The 24874-nt window shown below is 52.7% G+C and overlaps 3 annotated features.

The window, feature by feature from the left end:
* Nucleotides 3534–4154: an enhancer, noted in NCBI's record as "H3K27ac-H3K4me1 hESC enhancer chr1:53949500-53950120 (GRCh37/hg19 assembly coordinates)". NCBI's record gives its function as "activates a minimal SCP1, AML or CMV promoter by ChIP-STARR-seq in naive H9 embryonic stem cells {active_cell/tissue: H9 hESC(naive)}" and the evidence as "EXISTENCE:reporter gene assay evidence [ECO:0000049][PMID:30033119]".
* Nucleotides 20224–21064: an enhancer, noted in NCBI's record as "H3K27ac-H3K4me1 hESC enhancer chr1:53966190-53967030 (GRCh37/hg19 assembly coordinates)". NCBI's record gives its function as "activates a minimal SCP1, AML or CMV promoter by ChIP-STARR-seq in naive H9 embryonic stem cells {active_cell/tissue: H9 hESC(naive)}" and the evidence as "EXISTENCE:reporter gene assay evidence [ECO:0000049][PMID:30033119]".
* Nucleotides 23264–23827: an enhancer, noted in NCBI's record as "H3K4me1 hESC enhancer chr1:53969230-53969793 (GRCh37/hg19 assembly coordinates)". NCBI's record gives its function as "activates a minimal SCP1, AML or CMV promoter by ChIP-STARR-seq in naive H9 embryonic stem cells {active_cell/tissue: H9 hESC(naive)}" and the evidence as "EXISTENCE:reporter gene assay evidence [ECO:0000049][PMID:30033119]".

Consider the following 24874-nt stretch of genomic DNA (forward strand, 5'->3'; position numbering starts at 1 on the left):
AATGCTAAGAATGCTGCATGCTGAGTGCTGCTGCTCATAGAGGGTCTCCTTTCACCAAGGCTGCTCACACCCAACTCTATGATTTGGAGGAGCAGATGAAACCTAGTGTATCAATTTTCTATTGCCATAAATTGGTACAAATGCAGTGGCTTAAAACACCTATTTACTAGCTCACAGTTTCTGTAGGTCAGAAACTGGGTAGCAGCATAACTGAGTTCTCTGCCCAGGGTCTCACCAGGCTGAAATCAATGTGTTGGCCAAAACAGCAATCTCATCTGAGGCTCAAGGTCCTCTTCCAGGTTCATACAGGTTGTTGGCAGAATTCAGTTCCTTACAATTGTAGGAATGAAGTCCTGTTTTCTTGCTGGCTGCCAGTTGGAACTCACTCTTAACTCCCGCTCTTGTCCTAGCCACGTGGCCTTCTCAACACAGGCAACTTCTTCTTCAAAGCCAGGACAATCTCCAGTCTGCTATGATAGTTTTATATAATGTAATTGTAGAACTGACTGTCCCATCATATTTAGACACAAGGGGAGGGAAGTCTATGGCCATGTACGCCAGGGGGCGGGCTCTTGGGGCCATGTTAGAATTCTGACTGCACACCTGGTTTATGACGTGCACTTGTATCATCATACAGCAGGAAACGGATAGTACATTCAAACTAAGACAATTTAAGGAGACTTAATAAAGGAACTAATAAAAAGATTTGACAGGAAATGGGGAACGAGGGGTAGCGCGGTACCTAGAGAGCGCCCTTACCATTAAGCCTGGAGGGGTGCGGGGATGGGACAGTTGGTGGACCCTGGGAAGAGAGAGTGCCGTAGAGAAGTCAGCTGTGACTCCCATCAAGGGACAGCCTACAGGAAGGGCGCTGGGAGCAGAAAGACTCTCTCTCCCCCACCCTCCAGTCTCCTGCTATGGCTCCTCAATGCTGAGCCTAACCAGAAGCCAGAGAGCCCCAAAGCCCCTTGATGCACTCCCCACAGGTCAGCCTCCTGGGGCACAGAGCAAGGGAGGAGAAGGGAGAGAAATTAGGGGCAGGGGTGGGTGCGCAACAGGAAGACATCTAGCCAGCGGCTCGGGACACAGCTGTTGGGCGTCCCATGGCCATAGAGGTCGGTCTCTACCAGGGCCAGTAGCCAGACTCAGCTGCCTTTCTAATGCGGAAGAGCAGCTGATGAGTAGAGCATCAGGGCTCCAAGGCAGAGGGCTCTGTGCTGTGACACTGGGGGCACGTCACTCCCACCTGCCACCCAACCTGCCTAAGACATTCCACGCTCCCTTGGATCTGCTGGGTCACAAGGTCTGTGTGTCAGGGCAGCTCGCACTGTAGCCAGACCTAATGCACAGCCCTTTCTTACTTGGAGCCCCTCCAAAACTGGCAGCCTCACCAGTTTCCCAGGAAGTAGGTCAGAGCCGCACTCCCAGGTGTGGTGTACGCATCCTCGGAAATCCAGAGGTCCTGCCAGCACCATGCCTCTTATCTACTGGCAGATGGTACAAGGTATAGCCATGTACCTTTCAGAGGAGAATTCCAAATTCTGTTACCTCCTGCCTGCTGGTCTCCTACTGGAAGCCAGAGAGTGCAGGAGCCCAGGAGATGCTGTCTGTGGGGGTCAGCCCCCTGCACACGGAGCAGGGTGGAGGCTGCATCTGCTTGTGACCTGCAGAGGGAGAGTAACCACCCCCACACGACACGCATCAGGTCAGTCCCCTGCCCCCAACCCACCAATGGCCTCTACTGCTCTTCAAATAACCCCCTGACCCTTGGCCTGGGCCTTGAGATTTGGAGCCATCTGGCCCCCACCAGGTTGGTACATGAGAGACACTCATCATTGGTCCAGGACACCTTCACTTGTTTGTTTGTTTGTTTTTAATAATGTGATAAGCACCCATGAATCCATTGCTCCAGACAAAAATCCAGGCCCGGACAGTATCTGACCTCCAGCCAGCGGACCCCCATTGACTCTCACCTCTCCGGCCTCAGCAGCCAGAACCCGGAATCCCTTTGCCTCCTGCACTTGCTTTGCTTGTTGGATTTCATTGCATCCATGTGTATGCCTAGATGGTCTTTTGAACAGCTGTTTTAGGATGTAGTCTTTGGGGCGAGGCTTCCTCACTGAATATGACGTTGCTCACATTCACCCATGGTGTGGTGTTGTGTGCTGCTGCCTTCTCTGCTACAGGGTACTCTGGGGGCATCCTGGGGTTCTCGTGCTCTTCCTCTGGCATGTGGGCATGCAGGTTACGCTGCGGGGAGCAGGGCTGCTGTGGATGTCACTGCCCAGGTCCTTGTTGGTCCACCTCTCCCCACACCTGCTACTCCCCTTCCTTTCTCTCACCCCCCGCATGCCAGCCACACTGGCCTTTCTCCATTCCTTTGAGCTCGTCCCCACCTTGGGCCTTTGCTCCTACCGTTTCCTCTCCCAGGAATGCTCTCCTTGCCTGGCTCGTCCTCATTCTGGTTCAGCTTGATGGCATCTTCTCAGATGCCTGCCCCAACCCACTGGGCTCTGTAGCCCTCCCCTCCAAACATCTGTCCCCTTGAGGGCAAAGTATTCCTGGGGGGCTAAGGGAGGGACTCCAGCAGATGTGGCTGGAGCACAGGGTGAGAGGGTGGGGCAAGAGATGCGCTGGAAGCGGTTGGAGAACAGATGCCGGAAGGGCCTTGAATGTCATGCCAAGCAGGTCCGAACACGCCCCAGGCTTCAAAGTGTGTTAGGATCCAAGCCCCAGAGGAGGCCTCCGGCAGCCAGAGCACTCCCCTAGGCCCTTGAGGAAGGGCAGCTACTACATGTGCTTCAATATGAGGCAAGAGGTTCTCCCCAAATATGGCCCTCAGAAAAGAGGGGGTTGCTCGTTTTGAGTCTATATAGTTTCACAGTTTTTAGGGGGCACTTGTTACTTTATTTTGAAAATCAAAGTTGTGGCTGGAGAATGCACGTTAGATTAAAACATCCTCAGCTGTTATGGATGCTCCTGAGGGCTACCTGCAAAAGTGGTGGAAGGAGGATGTGGAGAACCTTCTTACTAACAGGCACCATCCAGAGCGGTGTGACCCGGGAAAGGTGACAGTGCCTGAGGCCACTCAGCCAGGCTGCGTTCTTTGAAGCATGGGGGCTACACAGCGCAGGTTCATCCTCCTTGTTTTCAGAAGGGGAAACCAAGGCCTGGGGAGGTGAGTGACTTCCCGAGGAGCAGAGCCAGGCCTGGAATGCAGCATCTCTGCCTCCAAGCGCTTCCAGCTTTTTCAGTGTAAATGCAGGGCAACGCGAAGGGCACAAGGGACACAGACCTTTCTGCTTTCTTGGCCTTGGTGGCATAGATGATGCTGTTGTGGGGAGCATCAGCTTTGCAGCCAGGAGACCTGAGTTCTAATTCGCAGCTTCTTCCCGACCCAGCTGTGTGACCTCAGGCAAGTTACCTCCCCTTCTCTAAGCTGGCTTCTCTGCGAGTGGAATGATAGCAGTGCCCTTTCCTGGGCTGCTGTGAGGCTGCAGCCTCTGCAGAGGTGGGAGGGGGTCAGGCCCGTGAGTGTGGGAGCCAGGGGTGTGAAGGGGACACCAGGGTGGGGTAGGGGAGCTGTGTCCTCTCTCTGAAGTGGCCAATGGGGCAGCTAGGATGTGGCCCTGCTCAAGGGGGCCCAGGTGCAGCAGAGCAGGGGCAGGAGGGGCCTGGGTGGCCATTCAGCTGCACTCACAGCCCTGTGCCCAGCAGGTCCAATGGTTCTCACCATGGGAACATGTGTTTGCCACCACAGGCCTTGGATATCCTGTAAAACTCACAATTTGTTCAAAAGAATAAAGAGCATGAAAGGGGCTGCCCGGCCTTCATCCAGGGCTGGCAGTGGTGGGAACGGCCCCGAGGCTGCTTTCCATTTAAACAAGATTTGGAGGCGTCTGTTCTGTCAGAGCTCTGGGTCGGGAAGCCCTCCCCGGCACAGATCGTGTGCTCGACTCAGGCTTTGGATGGAGGACATAGGACCTCACTTCCCCATCTGTAAACAAGGGTAACGATGGGGTTATGACATGTGATAAAGGATGAATGTATGCAAAGTGCTTAGGCCTCAGTGGGAGAGCAGGTGCTGGGAAGGGTTATCGTTATTTCTATAGGAGACAGATGTGTGCAGACTGACCCCCGAGGAGCAGCACTGAGATTCAGGGAGACTGGGTCTGGGGGACATGGGAGGACCCTGATCTGCTGGAAGAGGCAGGGAAGCTTTCCTTGGTGGAAACAAGGGACAGGGTAGACAGAGGTGGGTCCCAGCAGAAAAAGTGGCATGTGTAAAGGCTCTCAGGCGGGAACAAGGTTTTCATATTTGAGGAGCTAATAGAAACTCCCCAGGGCTGAGAGGCAGGGGCCAGGTCGCACGGGATCATGCCTTAGAGGCTACCAGCCTGGGCATCAGTGAATGCTTCCCAAAAAGTGACACACGGGCTTGGTGTCAAGGAGCAAGAAGGCATTAGTATTGTACAGAAGGGTGTCCCAGGCAGAAGGAACAGCATCTTCGGAGGCCTGGAGTCCAGGGAGCGCAGGCACAGTGTATGGTGAGGCCATGCCGGGCCTGGGCCGGGCCAGCTCCCATCCCTGTCTGTTGGTCAGGAGGACGCAGTTTCACTTTGTCCCACTCGCCTCTACCTCCGGGAGACTCAGCACACCCAGTGTATGCAGCCAGCTAACAGGGATGAGATGTGCTGTCTGCTGAGCTGGCTCTGGAGACCCAGGTGCCATTTGGAGCCTGTGAGACCCCTTCTTAGGGGAGTCTCAGCCAAGAATCAGGACAGCACCCGGATCTCTGGCCTAAGTGGGTGATGTGCTGAGATGGGAAAGTAGGAGAAGGGTTTTGGGGTGCTGAGCAGGAATGTCTGTGAGAAGCTGCAGAAGGGGTGGGGGGCAGCTTCCTGGGGCTGAGCTCAGGAGGGCACCCTGCACTGGGGATGGAGAGCGGATGCTGTCCGCGCAGATGTGGTGTGCAGTCCTAAGGGGCAGGGTGCCTGCGGACAGGGACGGAAGCCTGAAAAGGAGGCAGCCGGGGGATGGAAAGAAAGCCGGGACAGGCGGGAGAGGCCTGGGTTCCGAGTAGTGGGCTGAGAGTGGCACTAAAGAGAACAAGAAGGGTATTGGAGTGATCGTGAGGTGGTAAGAGACAAGTGAGTGTCAACACATCCTTTACAAATTAGGCTATCACCAGGAGGACAGAAATAGGGAGGAAGAGACGAGGGAAGGGGTCTGTGGGGGCCAGCGGGGATCAGCAGCCTCCAAGGTTCTTTGGGTTCCAATCTTCCCTGACGACTTGGTTTATTTATGGCCAGGGGCTTGTGGGGAAGGCAAAGGAGTGGCCGCGAGGGGGCGCCAGGACCTAGCCCAAGCCCTCCTCCAAGCGGAGACTGGGACGCTCTCGTCTTTACTCAATGTGTTTCCAAGGGGATGTGAGCTGCGATGACAATTTTGAGTTTCCATGAAGCAGGGTCTCTCCTGTCCTCCATCAGAGACTTGCGGCCAGTCCTGCCAGTGCCCTCTAGGCCCCCATTTCCGTTGGTCCGTGGTGGTGCCCTCCTCACCCAGGTGGTGTGGAAGTGGAGGGGTGGATGGGAGGCACGGGCTGAGAGAGGGCCCACGGGGCCTATGCCTCCCTGCCCGGCCCCACCCATGCCCCGTGGGGCCCCGTGAGTGCTCTTGCCTGTAAGGACGCCTCCCAGCTCCGAGGATATTTATTCACCAGCCCGACCTCCACAAGCACGTGGGAAGTCACCAGGACTATGTTGGTGAGGAAACTGAGGCACAGGCCACTGCATGCTTTCACGCTCACCTGCCTGAAAATCCCCGCTGCAGGGAAGGCTGCACTCTGGGCTCTGGGGCTAGGGTGGGCTGTTTCTTCTCTATTTGCTGCGAGTACCCAGTCAGAAACCACACGGGACCAGGGTTAGGAGCTGCAGATACACAAACCAGCCCAGTAGAAGGCGGTCTCCTCACAGAAAGAGCACTGAGTCCAAATGCAGCCCTGGTGCAGGGGCTTCCAATGTTAGATGCTCTGTGGGGAGGCCAGGAATCTGCATTTGGAGTACTTGCCCCAAGTGGATCTGAAGGCAGGGTTGGGTGTGAGACAACCCTATGAGAAGCCACTCTATAGATGAAGGTAGCTTGTTAAGGGCACGAGGCTGGACTGCTGCTGCCGAGCCCCAAAGTCACATTTATCCCTTTCTTCCTTTGTTTAACAGGCATCAACCCATGGGGGGCCCTTGCTGTGCCCAGGGTGCTCAGAGAGAATTTACAACCAGTCCAGCCTCCGAGAGACTCGCAGGCTAGAGGGGAGACACTCACCTACAGCAAGCAATGAGTGCAATGTGATCATTGCACCTGGGAAGCTTGAAGGAAGAGTGCTCCGGACAGAAGGAACAGCACGGACAAAGGCCTGGAAGCAAGAGGCAAGGCTGAAAAGAGCAGGGCCAGGGAGAAGGCTGAGTGACAGGAGGAGGGCCAGGGCTCAGGTACAGAGGGGCAGAGCCCTCACCAAGGCCTTTGAACCTTAAACTGGGGCTGGGAGAGCCTGGGCGTGTCTCACACCGCTCTGCAACTGTCCTTTTACTTGAAAGTCTCCCACCATCCTGAGGACTCCCATGGCTGGTGAACTCTGTGAACCCACTCCTGGCAGGAGCCCTGGCACCCCCCGAACACCACACTCTAGTGTCAAGCTGTCCCCACTGGAATGCAGGTTGGGAAGGAGGCAATGGAGTGGGGTGGGTGGGAGCTGAGGTTGCAAAATTTGGTGGAAATGGGTGGGGATGGAGGCAGTGGGGAAGGGGAGGCGGTGGGGAAGGGGAGGCGGGGAGCTGCTGATTTGTTTTAGAGCAAGAGGCTCTGGGCTGCTTTCTAAGCTGCAGCATCAAAGGCTGCCTGGAAACATGTACAGAATAAGGTGGAATATTATGGAAATTGTCCTCCCTGCTTTGTGGCCTGGGAATTCATGATGATTGAGAAGAATTTCCCCTGGTCTCATATTTATCCCTCTCTTTGAAAGTAAAGCTTTTGGATCAAATAAATAAAAATTATGGTCATACATTTCTTCTGAACTCAGCTGACTTCACCAGCCATACTGTAAATGGATGGAACTTTTTAAAAGCTGTTCTTCCAGGGTTGGAGGGTCAAGCGGACTTGCCTCTTGAGAGTCAGCGTGGTAAGGTTCCAGTGTTCATCCTTCCTGCCATCATGCTTCTGGTCACTGGCACCAAGAGTGACCTGGCAGTGGAGGGCTCTGGCACCATCCTGACGTGGCCACGCCAGGGTCTTGTGCGAGTCCCTTAGACTTGTTGAGCCTCCGTGTCTTCTCTGCCAGGATGGATTAATTATACCTACTGATCATTCATGTTTATTTTTCCTAAAGTAATATAAACACATTGTTTCAAAAAATCTAATGGAACTATTGGCCAAGAAAGAAAACCAACAGTCCTCAAATTATCCCCATCTCAACCAGTTCCAACCCAGTTCCACTTTCCAGAGGCAGCTGCTCAAGTCCTCAAGCTGCTTCTGTCTTCCCTTTCATACCTCAGTCCAGCATGTTAAAAACGCTGTTTCCCCCGTCTCTACTAAAAATATAAAAAATAGTGAGGTGTGGTGGCGGGCGCCTGTAGTCCCAGCTACTCAGGAGGCTGAGGCAGGAGAATGGCGTGAACCCGGGAGGCAGAGCTTGCAGTGAGCCGAGATTGCGCCACTGCACTCCAGCCTGGGCAACAGAGTGAGACTCCGTCTAAAACAAACAAACAAAAAATCGCTGTTTCTCGCTCCTCCGAGAGACATTTCTATGGGCTTCCTGGGCAGGGCAGTGGGAACCTGCCTTTCTCCCGACGCTCCCACACTTCCTCTTCCCCAGCTCCTGGTAGTCAGAGCACATACGTTTTCACTAAATCGATATTCTGGATTTATGTTGTCATGATTATGTAAATATTTACTAATCCAAGTACTGTAATCTGATTAGTTTCTTTTCCTCATGCTTTTACCGTTTTCTGGAATTAATAATTGCCTGTTTTCTCACTGGCCTAGCTGTCTACGTTTCTATTGCTAATTCTTCCCCAGACCTTCTAATAGCGACGTCCAGCACCTCTCACATCACTCTCATACCCACCAATGCATCCAAGCATCTGGCTCTGCTAGCCCTGGACCAGCCCTCCACTTCCTACAACCCAGCTGTCCACTTGGACTCTGCTTGCCACTCTCCTGCACTGGGATCCTTGTTTGCAAGAGGTCTTGGCTTATTCCCTCAGTTTAGGAGAGCTTTCCTCTGATAACTTTTTGAAAAAAAATTTAGAAAATACTTCTTTTTGGCAGTGCGCGGTGGCTAATACCCATAATCCCAGTACTTTGGGAGGCCAGGCGAGTGGATCACTTGAGCTCAGCAATTTGAGACCAGCTTGGGCAGCATGGTGAAACCCTGTCTCTAAAAAAACAAAACAAAACAAAAATTGTGTGGTGGTGCACGCCTGTAGTCCCAGCTACTGGGGAGGCCAAGGTGGGAGGTTCATGAGCCTGGGAGGTGGAGGCTGCAGTGAGCCGAGATCACACCACTGCACTCCAGCCTGGGTGACAGAGTAAGACCCTGTCTCAAAAAAAAAAAAAGAAAACAATTTTTTTTTGTAGTTTTCGCACGTCTGAAAATTCCTTATTCTATGCTCACCCTTGATTAATAGTTCAGCTGGGCATAGAATCCTGGATTAAAAATTGCTTTCATTGAAAAATTTTAAGTCTTTTGCTCTACAGTTTTCTATCTCCCAGTGTTGCTTTGAGAAATGTGATGAGATACTGTTTCATATTTTTGTAAGAGGCTTTCTTTTTTTCCTCCTCCTTCTCCTTTTAGGATCCCTCCTTCATCCCTGCTCTTCAGAACTTTTCGAATGCCATGTCTTGGCACGGGCCCTTTTAATCTGTAGCACTGGGCACTCAGTGAGCCCTGTCAAGCTGGTGGCTTATATCCCTTGGTCTTCAACATTTTTCTTCTGTTGCTTCTTTGATAACGTTCTTTCCTCCATGTTCTCTTTTCCCCCTTTCCGGAACTTTTTTTTTTTTGAAATGGAGTCTTGCTCTGTCACCCAGGCTGGAGTGCAGTGGCATGATCTTGGCTCACTGCAAGCTCCATCTCCCAGGTTCAAGCGATTCTCCTACCTCAGCCTCTCAAGTAGCTAGGATTACAGGTGTCCGCCACCAAGCCTGGCTAATTTTTGTATTTTTAGTAGAGATGGGGCTTTACCATCTTGGCAAGGCTGGTCTTGAACTCCTGACCTCGTGATCCACCCACCTTGGCCTCCCAAAGTGCTGGGATTACAGGTGCGAGCCACTGCGCCCAGCCGGGAATTTTTATTGGTCAGATACCAACTTCCTGGATTGATATTCAAACCTTCTCATTAATTTTTCCCTATTTTTCATTTATGTGCTTACTCTCTTACCTTCAAACTTTCTATCAGAGCTTTAATTTTGGTTATCTTTTCTGTTTGTTGGTTTTGGTTTTTTTCTGCTGCCTGCATTATCTCTGTTTCCCCCAGCTTTTGTTTGTTTGTTTGTTCCTGGTGATCCTTGGTAGATGACTGGTATAAGAGTGAGGCACTAAAAAGCCAATGGGAAGCTCTGTGAGCCTGATTGGACGGGTGAGGCTTGTTGACTATGAGCTTCACTGGGGTGACCTAGGGGCAAGTCAGCTTCTTGGGGTGGGCTCAAAATGCCCATTTCTAGAGGCCAGTTTTTCCAGAGAAGCATCTCCACCTTCCTGTCCAAATAGCCACTTGGTGTTTCTGCATCAGAATCCCCTCTGGTCCAGTTTCTGTGAAGGATAAACCATCATCTACTGGTCTTCTGGGAGTGGGATGTGAGTGGCGGAGGGAGGACTAGCTGCTTGGTTTTCGGGGGGCCCCAGGGAGTCTAATAGCTCCTACACTGACTGTCAACCAACCCAGTCCCCTCTTTTTACTCCACCCTGTCTCCCACCTTCCTCAGGACTTGGTGCCTCTGAGTCCTGGGTGTTTCTGGGCTCTGTGGGAGACCCTGCCCATGTCTGGCAGTGCCCCTCGGCAGTCTCCAGCTGCTTCTGCCACCAGCCCAGGCTCCACTTCCTGCTGGCTCCCATCTCCCATCAGCGCCTCTCCTGTTCTGACAGCTCCTTTTATTTCTTTATCATCACCTTAATGGGGTTTAGAAGGAGATGAGATAAACACTTATGTCCAGTCTGTCTCTGCCATTTCAGTTACACTTTGCTCACATCAGGCAATCTGGGGAAGCCAAAGAAACATCATCATTATTATAACAGCTAATATTTATCCAGCACATTCTCTATTCCAAGAGCCCCGTTAAGCATGTTACAATGTATTATCTCATGGGATTCTTACTATCACACTAGGAAGGAAGTTACAGATGTGGAATGGGCTCAGAGATGGGGGTGACTTGTCCAGGGGCACCCTACGAGCCCATCCAGACCTCTCTGCAGGAGTCAGCCCCCTGGGCAGTCGTGGTACACTGACCTCTCCAGCCTCCCTCTTGCCCTCCCCCAACCCTGCTCCACTGGCCCGAACTACCCTGTGTTCTGCTCACCAGGGCTCACCCTCTCATTTCCACACTTTTGCATGGGCTGTTCCCCTGGAAAAGGAGCAAAACATGTTGGGAGAGAGCGTGCCTGTGAAACAAAAATGAGCCAGGCTCCCGGGCTGTGGCGGAAGCCCCCACTCACCTTCTATCCTCCCTGGCGTCTGTGGGAGCACCTTTCCAAGGTGGCCTCTTCCTTCAGTGGTTTTGATCTGCAGAAAAGGTTCGCTTCCGCCTGTGCCTGGAATGCACACTCTTCCTGGCCACTCCTGTTTCACTTGAGAAGGGTGGCTTTCCTCTCATTAGTGCCTCACCTGTTCGTAGTTATGTATCTCTGAGGTGACAACTGGCCAAGCAAGGGACAGGGTTGCATCCTGATGAGAACTGCAGTGCCAGTAGAGAAAATGATAGATTAGTCATCTGCTGCCACCACCAAGATAGTCACTTATTTAGACTGCTTGGATTCTATCATCATTAAGAAGGCCAGGCATGGTGGCTTACGCCTGTAATCCTAGCACTCCAGGAGATAAAGGTGGGCATATTACTTTGAGCCCAGGAGTTCAAGACCAGCTTGGGCAACATGGCGAAACCCTGTCTCTACAAAAAAATACAAAAATTAGCCAGATGGCACATGCCTGTAGTCCCAGCTACTCAGGAGGCTGAGACTGGAGAACCACTTGAGTCTAGGAGGTGGAGGTTGCAATGAGCCAAGATTGTGCCACTGCACTCCAGCCCAGGTGACAAAGCGAGACTCTGTTTCAAAAAAATAAAAATAAAAAAATTTGGGCCGGGCACGGTGGCTCACGCCTGTAATCCCATCACTTTGGGAGGCCGAGGCAGGTGGATCACCTGAGGTCAGGAGTTTGAGACCAGCCTGACCAACATGGTGAAACCCTGTCTCTACTAAAAATACAAAATTAGCATGCTTGTAGTCTTAGCTATGTGGGAGGCTGAGGCAGGAGAATTGCTTGAACCTGGGAGGTGGAGGTTGCAGTGAGCCAAGATTGCGCCATTGCACTCCAGCCTGGGCAACGAGAGTGAAACTCCATCTCCAAAAAAAAAAGAAGTTTGTAAGCAACAATTCAGCCTACAGACTCTTTTTAAAAACTAATGTGGCTGGGCACTGTGGCTCATGCCTGTAATCCCAGCACTTTGGGAGGCTGAGGCAGGCAGATTACTTGAGGTCAGGAGTTTGAAACCAGCCCACCCAACATGGTGAAACCCTGTCTCTACTAAAAATACAAAAATTAGTTGGGCATGATGGTGTGTGCCTGTAGTCCCAGCTACTCTGGAGGCTGAGGCAGGAGAATTGCTTGAACCCAGGAGGCAGAGGTTGCAGTGAGCCGAGATTGTGCCAATGCACTCCATTGTGGGCAACAGAGTGAGACTCCATCTCTAAAAATAAAAATAAAAATAAATAATAATAATGGCTTTGGCCAGGCGCGGTGGCTCATGCCTGTAATCCTACCATGTTGGGAGGCCAAGGTGGGCGGATGACTTGAGGTCAGGAGTTCAAGACCAGCCTGGGCCAACATGATGAAACCGTGTCTCTGCTAAAAATACAAAAAATTGGCCGGGTGCAGTGGTGAGCGCCTGTAATCGCAACTACTCTGGAGGCTGAGGCATGAGAATGGCTTGAACCTGGTAGGCAGAGGTTGCAATGACCCAAGATCATGCCACTGCACTCCAGCCTGGGTGACAGAGTGAGACTCTGTCTCCAAAAAGATAAAAAATAGAATAATAATAATAATGGCTTTATTGAGATATAATTTGCATGCCATAAAATTCATCCATCTAAAATATACAATTTGATGGTTTTGGCTATATTTACAGAATTATGCAACTTCATCACAACCAATTTTAGATCATTTTCATCATCCCCCCAAAAAAACCCCATGCCTATTAGCAATTACTCACCATTTCCCTCAAGCCACCATTCCTGGGCCACAAGGAATCTGCTTTCTGTCACTATAGATTTGCCTGTTCAGATTCTTCATATAAAAGGAGTCGTACAGTATGTGGCCTTTTGAGACTGGCTTTTTCCAGTGAGCATAACGTCTCCCAGGCTCATCCGTGCCGTAGCACGTGTCAGTGCTTCGTGTCTTTTCCTTACCGCATAATATTCCGTTGAGCGGATAGACCACATTTTGTTTATTCATCTGTTGATGAAGATTTGGATTGTTTCCACCTTTTGGCTATTATGAATTGTGCTACTTTAAACATTTGTATACAAGAGTTGGTGTGAACATATGTTTTAATTCCTCTTGGGTTTTTTATTCCACCTAAGAATAGAATGGCTGGGTCATATGGTAACTGTATTTAACTTTCTTTAGGAGCTGCCAAGTTATTTTCTACCACAGCGCAGAGAATTTACATTCTCCCCCGCTGCGTATAAGGGTTCTGATTTCTCCACATTCTCACCAACAGTGCTTAGTATCTGACCGTTTGATGATGGCCATCCCAGCGGTTATGAAGTGCATCCCACTGCGATTTTGACTTGCATTTCCATGATGGTTCATGACGCTGAGCATCTTTTCATGTGCTATTTGCCATTTGTAAATCATCTTTCTTCTTTCAACATTGGGTTGTCCTTTTATTACTGAGATGTAAAAGTTCTTAATATATTCCGGCTATAATTCCCTTATCTGATATATGTTACGTATATTTTCTCCCATTCTGTGGATTGTCTTTTCACTTTTTTGATGATGTCCTTTTAGTACAAAAAAATTTAATTTTAATGGAATTCAGTTTATCTTTGTTGTTGGTGGTGGTGCTTTTGGAGTTATATTTAAGAAATCAATGCCTAATCCAAGGGCACAAAGATGTTTTTCTTTTTCTTTTTTTCTTTCTTCGTGTGAAACAGGGTCTCACTCTGTTACCCAGGCTGGAGTGCGCTGGCACGATTTTGGCCCACTGCAGCCTTGACCTCCCGGGCTCAAGCAATCCTCCCACTCAGCCTCCCAAGTAGCTGGGACTATAGGCGCACACCACCACGCCTGGCTAATTTTTATATTCTTTGTAGAGACGGGGTTTTGCCATGTTGCCCAGGCTGGCACAAATATTCACTCTTATTTTTTTTCTTAGTTTTATAGTTTTAATTTTTATTTAGGTCTTTGGTCCACTTTGAGCATATTTTTACATATAATATGAGGTAGGGATCCCACTTCATTCTTTTGCATGGGGATATCCAGTTGTCCCAGTACCCATATGTTGAAAAGACTATTCTTTCTCCATTTAATTATCTTGGCACTCATTAAAAATCAATTGACCATAAATGTGAAGGTTTGTTTCTGAACTCTCAATTCTATTCCTACAGGTCTTTCTTTATGCCTATAAGCTTTAAAGTAAGTTTTGAAATTGGGAAGTGTGAGTTCTCCAACTTTGTTCTTCTTTTTGTAGATTGTCTTGGCTATTCGGGGTCCTTTGAATTTCCATATGAATGTCATGATCAGATTGTCAATTTCTGCACAAAATCCATCTGGGACTTTGAGAGGGATTGTGCTGAATCTGTAGATCAAACTGGGGAATACTACTATCCTAATAATACTAAGTCTCCTAATTGATGAACATGGGCTGTCATTTTGTTTACTTAGGTCTTCTTTCATTTCTTTCAACAATATTCCATAGTTTTAAGGCCAGGTGCGGTGGCTTATGCCTGTAATCCCAGCATGTTGGGAGGCCGAGGTGGGTGGATCATTCGAGGTCAGGGGTTCAAGGCCAGCCTGGACAACATGGTGAAACCCCCCCGTCTCTACTGAAAATATAAAAATTAGCCAGATGTGGTGGTGGGTGCCTGTAGTCCCAGCTACTCAGGAGGCTGAGGCAGGAGAATTGTTTGAACCTGGGAGGCGGAGGTTGCAGTGAGCCGAGATTGCACCACTGGGCTCTAGCCTGGGTGACAGAGTAAGACTCTGTCTCAAAAAATATATATATTTTGTAGTTTTCAGAATATAAGTTTTGTACTTTTACTAAATTTGTTACTGAATATTTTATTCTTTTGAATGCTATTGTAAGTGGAGTTATTTTCTTGATTTCATTTTTGCAATGCTCATTGCAAGTGTATACAAGTACACTTTTTGTGTATTGAGCTTGTATCCTGCAGCCTTGCTGAACTCGTTTGTTAGCTCTAATGGTTGTGTGTGTTTGTGTGTTTGTGTGTGTGTGTGTGTGTGTGTGTGTGTGTGTATTCCTTATAATTTTCTATATATGAGAACATGTTATCTGCAAATAGATAGCTTTACTTCTTCTTTTCTGATCTGGATACCTTTTATTTAATTTCATTACCTAATTGCCCTGGCTAGAACCCCCAGTACAATGTTGAATAGAAGGGTCAAGAGTGGGCATCCTTGTCTTGTTCCTGATCTTAGGGGGAAAGCATCCAGTCTTTCACCATTAAATATGATGTTAGTGGTGGGTTTTTCATAGGTGGCCTTTATCAAGTTAAGGAAGTTCTCTTTTATTTTTAGTTTGTTGAATGTTTTTCTAGTCATGAAAGGGTGTTGGTGTGTACCAGTAAGGTAGAGATTTTAGTCCCTATTTTACATATATATATTAGAAAACTAAGGCTAAAAAATGCTAGAGCAAATTTGGAAAATAGGAATAAATATGAAGAAGGAATAAACATCACTATCAACCCCATCGCTCAAAGATAAACCACTCTTAACTGTTGGAAGAACATCCTTCCAGACTTTCTTCTAGGCCTTTTTAGAAAATTGTCTGCACACCACATAGACTACCTTATTTCACTGCATAATATGTCCAGAACATTGAGGGAAGGATTTTCTTAGCCAGAGCTGAACAGAGATGAAGGGGTCTGCCTGGTTCCTTGTTGGTGGGAGCACGTGAGCACAGCAGCTTGTCCACACAATGTAACAGGGCGTCTCCTGGGGGATGTTTTTGAGCCAGTCTTCTCTCCTGGCTGTGAGGCTATCCAGGGCTAGGGCCAGGCTGAGTCATCTCACTTTCTTGTGCCCAGCTCAGAGGAGACTTGAGTCAGTTTGATGAAGTGATCAGCATGAGCCGAGGGACCCAAAAGGGAAATGAGAACCGGCTGAGTCTACAGCTTCTCTGGGCTGGGTCCTTTAGGAAAAGGAATTATGACAGAAGTGTCCTGGCCTGGGCTCTGCACTCAGTGGGCAAGTCCCTGCCCTTCCCCAGGCCTCCATCTCCCTATCTGTCAGATGGGGATTGAACCAATTTCCCCTACAGGCCCTTCGGAGATGGACTGGGTGAAACTCTGGGCCTTGATGCCTGAAAGACTCTGGGGTCTTGAGACCCAGAAGTTGGGGCCTTCTCCCAGGATGGGGCCCAGCAGCCATATGGGAATCCCCAGCCAATGTGTCAGCATCAACGCTGTGTAACATACTGCACATTTACCTGTGTGGAAGGAAGACTTGGTGACCTGGTCTTGAGGAACTCCCTGTCATTGGAAGATGAGGCGGCCTAAGGAAAATGTCCTGGAAAGATGGGTCAGCTTGGCAGGGCTGCGGAGCTCCTGGAGCTCTGGCTGGGAGTTTGGAGACTTGGAAATCCAGTCTCTGCCACTCTCCTGCTTGCTGAGTGGCCTGGGAAGGCCCCACTCCTCCCTATCCCTAATGGCTCTGAGTCTGTGACCCCGTGAGTTTATCCAAGGCTCTTACTGACTGTTGAGCAATCACTATGCTCTGGTGCTGGTAGCTGCAGAACTGAACCAAAGGATGAGGGTCAAGGTGGAGGAAGCAGGACTCGAAGAGGCAGCTTGTTCCAGGAGAAGGGAGAGCAATCTTTGGGCCCTGCAGACCTGGTCTGGCACTCTGAGCCTAGATTCCCTCTCTCTCTCTCTCTCTCTCGTTTAAAGAGTGAATGAGTTAACATATGTCAAGTGGTTGGCACATGGAGGGGCTCAAAAAAATTCCTGTTGTCATGAGCAAGACCTGGAAGTTGGGGAGACCAAGGGAGGTTCTTGGCCAATGGATGAGGGTAGGCAGCATGGACTGTAGAAGGTCTCTTGACCTTGGAGTGATGGCTTTGCCTTCGGGCAGCCTAGGCCCATCAGCTGGCAGGGTCACATTCTGTCTCTGTTTCTGGCAACAGCAGGATTTTCCCTCCCTAATTATCAACCTACTTGGGGAGATGCTAAAAGTAATGCCCATTCCTGGACATATGTCCAATTGTCAAGAGGGCACTGTGGAATTAACTATTTCGTTAGCACATTAAGTGCACAGAGAGAAATTAAGAAAAAAGACAGAGATTTGCAGGCTATGGGAAGGGAGGCCATGTTGGGGGCACTTCTGGGTGCTCAGCCCTGAAACACGCTTGCAGGAGCCTACCTTGTTGAATGGGTGTAAGAAGACCTGGAGCAGCCTCCGACTCTTCTTAAAACACAGTGGAGTATGACAAATTGCTCAACTGCTGAATCGACAGATGGAGACTTCTTCCCCTCTCCCACTCTGTCCGTGGCTCTCCAAGGTCACCAAATGCTGCCACTCCTGGTTTCTCATGTCCTCTTCAACACAACATCATAGTTTTCCATTTCTCAGTTGAAGACACTGAAGCCCAAAGAGGGCATGCGACTTGTCTAAGGCTGCACAGCCAGAATTTTTTTTTTTTTTTTTTTTTTTTTAATGAGACAGGGTCTCCACTCTCAGGCTGGATTGCAGTGGTGCAATCACAGCTCACTCACTGCAGCCTTGACTTCCCAGGCTCATGTGATCCTCTCACCTCAGCTTCCTGAGTAGCTGGGACTATAGGCATGCACCACCACATCCAGCTAGTTTTTGGATTTTTGGTAGAGATGGGGTTTCACCATGTTGCTCAGGCTTATCTCAAACTCCTGGGCTCAAGCCATCCACTTGCCTTGGCCTTCCAAAGTGCTGGGATTACAGGCATGAGCCACCACGCCCTGCCTCCAGAGCCAGAATTTGAATCAAGGTACAAGGCCCTGGGTAGACAAGCTGGGATGTGCTGACTAGTGAGGCCTCTGCCCAAGACAGCATGGGGTGGTTTGAGCACTGCCCTGGGTGTCCTGAGACCAGACCCACCACCAAATGGCCATGTGTCCCCAGCAAGTCAGGCCATCTCCCCGGGACTGTTTCCCCACTTGTACCATGGAACTTGATTTCAAATCATGAGGAGAATGCTTAGGGCACTCATCTAAATGGGCAGTCCTCGAACGAAAATACTCACACCTGAGCACCTACTATGTACCAAGCCCTCACTCTAGCGCCCCATTTGATCCACCCACCAATAGAGGAGGCATCGTCTCATCTTACAGAGTAGAACCTCAGATTCAGTGAGGTGACCTGCTCAAGACCCCAGTCGGAGCATGGCTGCGTGGGTTTTGGAACTCAGATTTTGGGAACTCTGGAATCCCTGCTGTCAACACTCTGGGCCTCACCATCTTTTTTTTTTTTTTTTTTTTTTTTTTTAGACAGTCTTGTTCTGTTGCCCAGGCTGGAGTGCAGTGGCTTTATCTCAGCTCACTGCAACCTCCCCCTCACAGGTTCAAGCGATTCTCATGCCTCAGTCTCCTGAGTAGCTGGGACTACAGGCATGTGCCACCATGCCCGGCTAATTGTTTTTTGTAGTTTTAGTAGATGGGGTTTCGAGATGTTGCCCAAGCTGGTCTCGAACCCCTGAGCTCAGGCAATCCACCCTCCTCGGCCTCCCAAAGTGCTAGGATTACAGATGTGAGCCACCTTGCCCAGCCTGGGTCTCACCATCTTTTGAGAGCCACCAGCTCCCTGACCCTGAGTTTCCCCATCAGTAATAGAGCAGTGTGTGCCTGTTGCACTCCGGACACCTGGGCACAGAGCCCCCAGGAAACCCCAGGCCCCGTGGAGATGGCTGCAGCACAGCCTGTGTCTTGCTTGGCGAGGGACGGTGTCTGGGCCCCGTGGAGCCTGTGTTCCTGGCATTCTGCCCTGCATGGGGCTTAGTGACTGCCCCCTGGGGCTGCTCTCCACCTCCCACCCTTTCCTTCCTAGCTGGAGACCCCCACTCACTTCTCCACTGGGGGCTCAGGCTCCAGCTCCTCACCCCGGGCCCCACCTTGAGTTGCTCCCCGTCTAGTGGCTGTGGTTTCACTGACACAGAGGAAACCACAGATGAAGGCGAAGTGCCAGGCTCCAGTGATAATACCAGCTCAGCTGCACATGGCCTTTCATGGTTTGCAAAACCCATCTCCTGTCCATTAGTGCTTTTTATTCCCCAGAAGCCAGGAGAGCTAAGAGGATAGCTCCCTCTCCACAGATGGGGAAACCAAGGCCCAGAGTGTGAAGCGACTTTCCTCCAGTCAGTGGTATAGGCAGATTGTAAACAGGCTGACTTCCAATCCCAGGGTCTCAGCTCAACTTGGCATGTGCCTCTCACCTCAGGAGTTTGGGGACAGCAAAGTTCTGGGGCTCAGAGGGTGGCCAAGGGCATGGGCTTTGCAGTTGAGAGGACGTGAGTTCAAAACCTGGCTCAGTGTGATCTGGGGTAATTTACTTTGCTTCCCTATAGAATGGGGGTGAAAGTAGGACCTTCCCCACAGGGCTGTGTGGTTTAACAGTTAATGTGCATGAAGTGCTGCGGTGCTGGCCATGGTGAGCGGCGTCCTCACCCCTCCTGGGTGCTGGAGCCCCCGGGGAGCTCTTCAAACAGCAACCCGGCTGCCCTCAGAAAGGCTGAATTTGTTGCTCAGAGGTGGGATCTGCGTGTGCAGCTTGGGGACTCCGGGTGTTTCCAATGCGCAGCAGCAGTGGGGGGCGCTCTGCTTTATGGAGCCCATTGTGCAGATGGGTAAACAGTCTCTGAGGGGCAAAGTGACCCCAAAGGACCCACAGGTCCTCTGGGCTCCTGTTTCTGCCTCCTCCATGACTTGGCTGCCCTCAGATGACTGGTTCCTGAGGGTGCCACCATGCAGGCAGGTGAGGCAGGGGCTCAGGCCTCCCTGCAGGGCTGGCTGGGCCGTCACGGCCGGGCCTCTCCTTGGGGACTTGATTTCTCCTCCTGTAGATAATAACCACCCCTCACTTCCCTGCCTCAGGGGTAGAGAAGGCGGCCCTGAGAAGTTGCGTGGTCCTTGACCCAGTGACAGGACTGCTTCAGTCTCTTGGCCAATCTTGCTTGCACTGCCCCAGGGACGGGGGCTCCTTTTCATCCCAAAGTCATCCCAGGGTCTCCGAGCACAGTCACCTTCTTCTCTCAGGGTGTCCTGCAGAGCTCTGGGGTTGGGGCCAGGGTCCCCGGGTCTCCTGTGCCCCCAGCACTGTCGGGTATGAGGTTAACCGGGCTCACCCTGTCCTGGCCCTTGTTCTGCACATACTCTTGTCACCAGCAAATTAATGCAGAGAAGCCATTATTAAATCCCAGCTGTGCACCAGACCCTCTGCTGGGCACTGGGGATACAGGGCCACCAATGTGGTCCCTGCTGTGACAAGACAGTCACGAAGTAAAGAGGACTCAGGCCCCAGACCCTCCCGCAAGGAGGCCCCATCCTGGAGGAGCGGAGCCTGCCCCAGCTGCCAGGCACGCGAGAAATCCCAGCCCAGCCGCACCAGGACTACTTGAATTCATTTCTGGAAAACGTCAAACATCCACACAAGTGCTCTAGAGAACAGCCTCGGAGCCCCAGAGAATACCCTGGTGGCCGAGCCTCCAGCGCCGGCATCTCTACTTGCTGTTTCCACACCCTCGGCCCCCTCCAAACCATGGGGCTGCCGGGTTCTTTATTCTGCCCTAAAACTAATGCAACCAGACCCAAGTCCAACCCCAGAGCCGGGCTCCCTGCCCTCCTGTGCGGAAAGGACACGGACACGCCTGGTGGATGGCGTGGCCTGGACAGGGCTGCCTGGCGGCATGTCTGTCTCCTCGGCCTCCCATGGCCCTTCTGCAGGATCCTGTTGCACCCAGGCCTGGGGCCCACGATTAAATCGTGCATTGGCACTGCAGCATGGGGCCAAGGAGGGGCTGGCAGCTCCTTCCCACTTCACATACGTTTGCATTTCCCCCAGAGACGCGACCACTTAGAAACCTATAAATCCCTGGCAGGGCTGCCGGCCTAGGCTAGTATATAAATCAGGACTTGTAAAAGCCTAATGGCCCCCTCTGGGCGGGTGAGACGGGCGTGTGCCAAGAATCCTCAGGCGGCGCCCCAGGACTCAAGTCTTGGTCTCTAGCTGCAGATGGGCAGGGGGGCAGGCAGGCGCCGGTGCCACAGACCTGCCTGGAATCCCCGCTCTGCCCCCTCTCCAACCTCGGGCAAGTCACCCCTGTGAGCCTCAGTTCTCTCCTCAGTACAATGAGGTCACAACCCGTGCCTTGCAGAAGGTCATCAGCAGGCTGCACAAGCCCTCTAGGAGCCCAGCATTCTTTTCTGGTGGGCTGAAGGGATGGGGGACAGAGCGCAAATGGGGCCCTGAAGCCTGGGCTCTCTGCTGCCTGCTGCTGGCCTGCCACCTGCTCTGAAACTCAGACAGGTCCCATGCCCCTCCACACCCGTGTCCTCCAACCGCGTTGACGGGTGTTTGCTGTGGTCCTGCTCTGGGCGAGGGGCTGTGGGGCCAGGTCCTTGTTTCCTCGTTGTCTCTCTGGCTCCACTGATGGGTATAAGAAACAGGTACTGTGTGCTGGCTGTGTGCCGGGTGCTGGCTGTGTGCCGTGTGCTGTTCCAGGGGCTGGGCAGTCAGCAGTGAAGAGGACAGCTCAGGCCCTGACCTCCTGGGACGGACGTTCTAGCAGGGGCCTCAGCAGCGCAGTCCCCTCTCAGCAGAGGGGCCTCCCGAGGCCCAAAGCTGCCGGGTCACTCCCCTGACCACCCCCCGGTCGGCTAGATTAGGGGGCGTGGAGAGAGGCTGGAAGGGGTGGCAGAAACAGAGTCTCTTGGGCCTGGGCTTCCCTTCTGTGCAGTGAGTGGGGTGGGGCTGGTGGTCTCAGTGGGCCCTCTCAGCCCTTATGGTCCGGGTCCTCTGATAGCTCATGGGGTCCCCAAGGGCCAGCAGGAGCACAGGGAGTCCCTAGAGGACAGGACCAGTGATGGTGAATCCCAGTGCCCAGCATGGAAGGGACCTGGCCTGGGCACACACACAGGGCAGGAGGGGACCTAATACCCAAGACCTGAGACCCTGGCAGGGTCAGAGCCTTCCTCCACCCTAGAAGGGTGGAGGAAGGAGAAGGCGGGTTTGGGAGGGGTGGGAGGGACAAGGGGCCTGGGGTGGGAGGGACAAAGGGGCTTGGAAGGGGAAATGTGGAGACAGAGGAGGATGAAGGTGAAGAGCCAGAGAGGAGTGGGTAGGGATGGGGGAGTCAGAGAAGGAAGACAGAGAGGACAGAGGGGGACAGAGGAGAGAAGGAGAAGAGGGACAGGGGAGAGAGGAGAAGAGAGGGACAAGGAGGCGGGGGAGGGACAGGGAAAGAGGAGGGGGAGAGGGACAGGAAGAGAGGGATGAGGGGGATGGGGAGAGAGGAGAAGGGGGAGAGACAGGGAAAGAGGAGAGGGAGGAAGGAGAGGGAGAGAAGAGAGGGATGAGGGGGATGGGGAGAGAGGAGAAGGGGGAGGGACAGGGAAAGAGGAGAGGGGGGAGGGAGAGGGAGAGAAGAGAGGGATGAGGGGGATGGGGAGAGAGGAGAAGGGGGAGGGACAGGGAAAGAGGAGAGGGGGGAGGGAGAGGGAGAGAAGAGAGGGATGAGGGGGATGGGGAGAGAGGAGAAGGGGGAGGGACAGGGAGTAGGGCGAGGGACAGGGAAAGAGGAGAGGGGGGAGGGAGAGGGAGAGAAGAGAGGGGAGGGGGCAGATAGAGAAGAGAGGGGAGAGAGGCAGATAGAGCGGGGAGGGGGAGAGACAGAGAGGGGAGCGGGAGGGGCAGGCAGAGATGAGAGGGGGAGGGACAGAGAGAGGAGAGTGGGGAGGGGCAGGGAGAGAGGAGAGGGAAGGGGGCAGGGAGAGAGGAGAGGGGAGAGGGGCAGATAGAGAGGAGGGGGGAGGGACCAGAGAGGAGAGAGGGGAGGGGCAGGGAGAGAGGGGAGGGGCAGGGAGAGAGGGGAGGGGCAAGGAGAGAGGAGATGGGGAGGGATAGAGAGAGGAGAGCGGGGAGAGGCAGGGAGACAGGAGAGGGGAGGGGGCAGGGAGAGAGAGGGGAGAGGGGCGGATAGAGAGGAAACGGGGAGGGACAGGGAGAGAGGAGGGGGGAAGGGACAGAGAGAGAGGAGGAGGAGGGACAGAGAGGAGAGTGGGGAGGGACAGAGAGAGAGAGAGGAGTGGGGAGGGACAGAGAGGGAAGGGCGGGACAGGGAGAGAGAGGGCCCTGATCCCTGATGGAGACAGAGAGACCAAGGCTTCAGGGTGGGGGTGCTGGGCCAATCTAGCTTGAACTTGACAGAGGCCAGGACTGTGGGGGCGGCCTGGAGTGGCAGGGCTGGAAGGATGCCATGGTCTCCTGTCCATCCTGGGCTCTGTGCCTATGCCCTGGGTTGGACTCGGGGGCCCCTGGGTGGACTCAGCCCCTTGGCTCTATAGACCCTGTGGGGTCCTGGGCTTGTGGCCCCCTAGGGGCTCTCTAGGCCCTGTGAGAAATCTCAGCCCCTCCACCTAACCCCACTAGCCTCCCTGTGTGACAGTGACAGTCACACCTCCTTGCCAATGGTGGGTCTGGGGGTAATCGCCGTGCCCTGCAGTGGCAGTGGCCAGGCTCCCATGTGCTGCGGGCTGCAGATCAGGGCTTGGGAGGGGCTTTGGTCTTGGTGTTTTTAAAATAAGGGCTGAAGATAGCACTACGGAGGGAGCTCAGGTCCAGCCCCCGGGGGTCCTGCCTGGGGACCGGTGTTGCAGTGCTCGCCTTCGCCTTCGATTAGGAGGGAGACCCTGCCGGCGTCGGGGCAGGGCGTCCCGAGTGTGCCAGGAGGAGCGGGGGCTCAGTGGAGTCCCAGGCAGAAGAGTGAGGAATGGCATTTCCAGATCCCGGTCACCACAGCAGTGGGACCCACCCCCGAGCCCCTCCGTGCCCTGCCATCCCCTGCGGCCTACTTGTCTCTGCTCTGTCTCGGCCTCTTTGTTTCTCTGCCTTTGTCTCCTTTTCTCCCTCTCTCTGCTCTCTGAAATTAAATGGGATCCAACTGCCAGCTCCCTGTGTGTTCCCCGCTTGCGGCTCAGCCCCTTTCATTATTAACAGAAATATGTCCTCATGGTGGAGCTTCACGCTGCTTATCTGGAGTGGATTAAGTGTTCACAGTGACATGCAGTACTGATTCCTCAGCATCCCTGTTCAAGGAGTTTTGCCTCGGCCTAATTAGTTCCATAAAATCAGTGGAGGAGGGGATGAGGGGCGAGGGGACCCTGGGTGGCAGGCAGCAGCCCGATGTGCTGTGTGACAATGGGTCGATCCCTCCCTGCTGGAGAATTGGACTGGGCCACTCTGGGAGGCAGAGGCTGAGAGGTGGTGGGAGCAGGTCGCCCGATTCTGCAAGGGGCAAGACAGTCTGAAGGGTGAAGGTGGAGGCTCCGGAGCCCGATGCCCGGGTTTGAACCCAGCTCTACCACTCACAGGCTGTGTCACGTGGGCAAGTTCCTTAACTTCACTGTCCCTCTTTTTTTTTTTTTTTTTTTTTTTGAGATGGAGTCTTGCTCTGTCACCCAGGCTGGAGTGCAGTGGCGCGATCTCGGCTCACTGCAACCTCCGCCTCTCGGGTTCATGCCATTCTCCTGCCTCAGCCTCCAGAATGGCTGGGATTACAGGCGACCGCCACCATCCCTGGTTAATTTTTTGTATTTTTAGTAGAGACAGGGTTTCACCATGTTGGCCAGGCTGCTCTTGAACTCCTGACCTCAGGTGATCCACCCGCCTTGGCCTCCCAAAGTGCTGGGATTACAGGCGTGAGCCACCGCGCTGGGCGCACTGTCCCTCAGTTTCCGTGCCTGTAGGATGGGAGTAAGTAGCAGGGTTTGGCAGGGAAGACCGTCCTTTTCAGCTCAGGGTGGTCAGGAGTTTCCTGAGGGGACCATGCTGCGGTGTGGGCCGGGGTGTCTTGAGTGATTCCCCAGCCCCACCCCACGCCGAGTGAGGGAGGAGAGGAGCAGCTCCCAGTCTGGAGTGGGCTGTGTGGAGAGAGCCACTGGACTGGGCCGAGACCTTCAGTGGAAGACACAGCCACCCAGGGACCTTCCCTCCCACCTCCCTCCCATGCTGGGCTCCTCACTGGCTGGAGCCAGCCCGGAGCCAGAGGGCAGCGGCCCTAAATGCAGCCCCCACAGGTGGGCCCTGGACACAGAGCAGGCAGAGCGCATGTCTGGAGGGGGCAAGTAGGACATGGGTGCAAGAACCTCGTCAGCAGGCTCCTGGGAGGAGGCAGAGAGCAGATC

The sequence above is a fragment of the Homo sapiens genome, chromosome 1, assembly GCF_000001405.40.
Source record: "Homo sapiens chromosome 1, GRCh38.p14 Primary Assembly".
Lineage (NCBI taxonomy): Eukaryota > Metazoa > Chordata > Mammalia > Primates > Hominidae > Homo > Homo sapiens.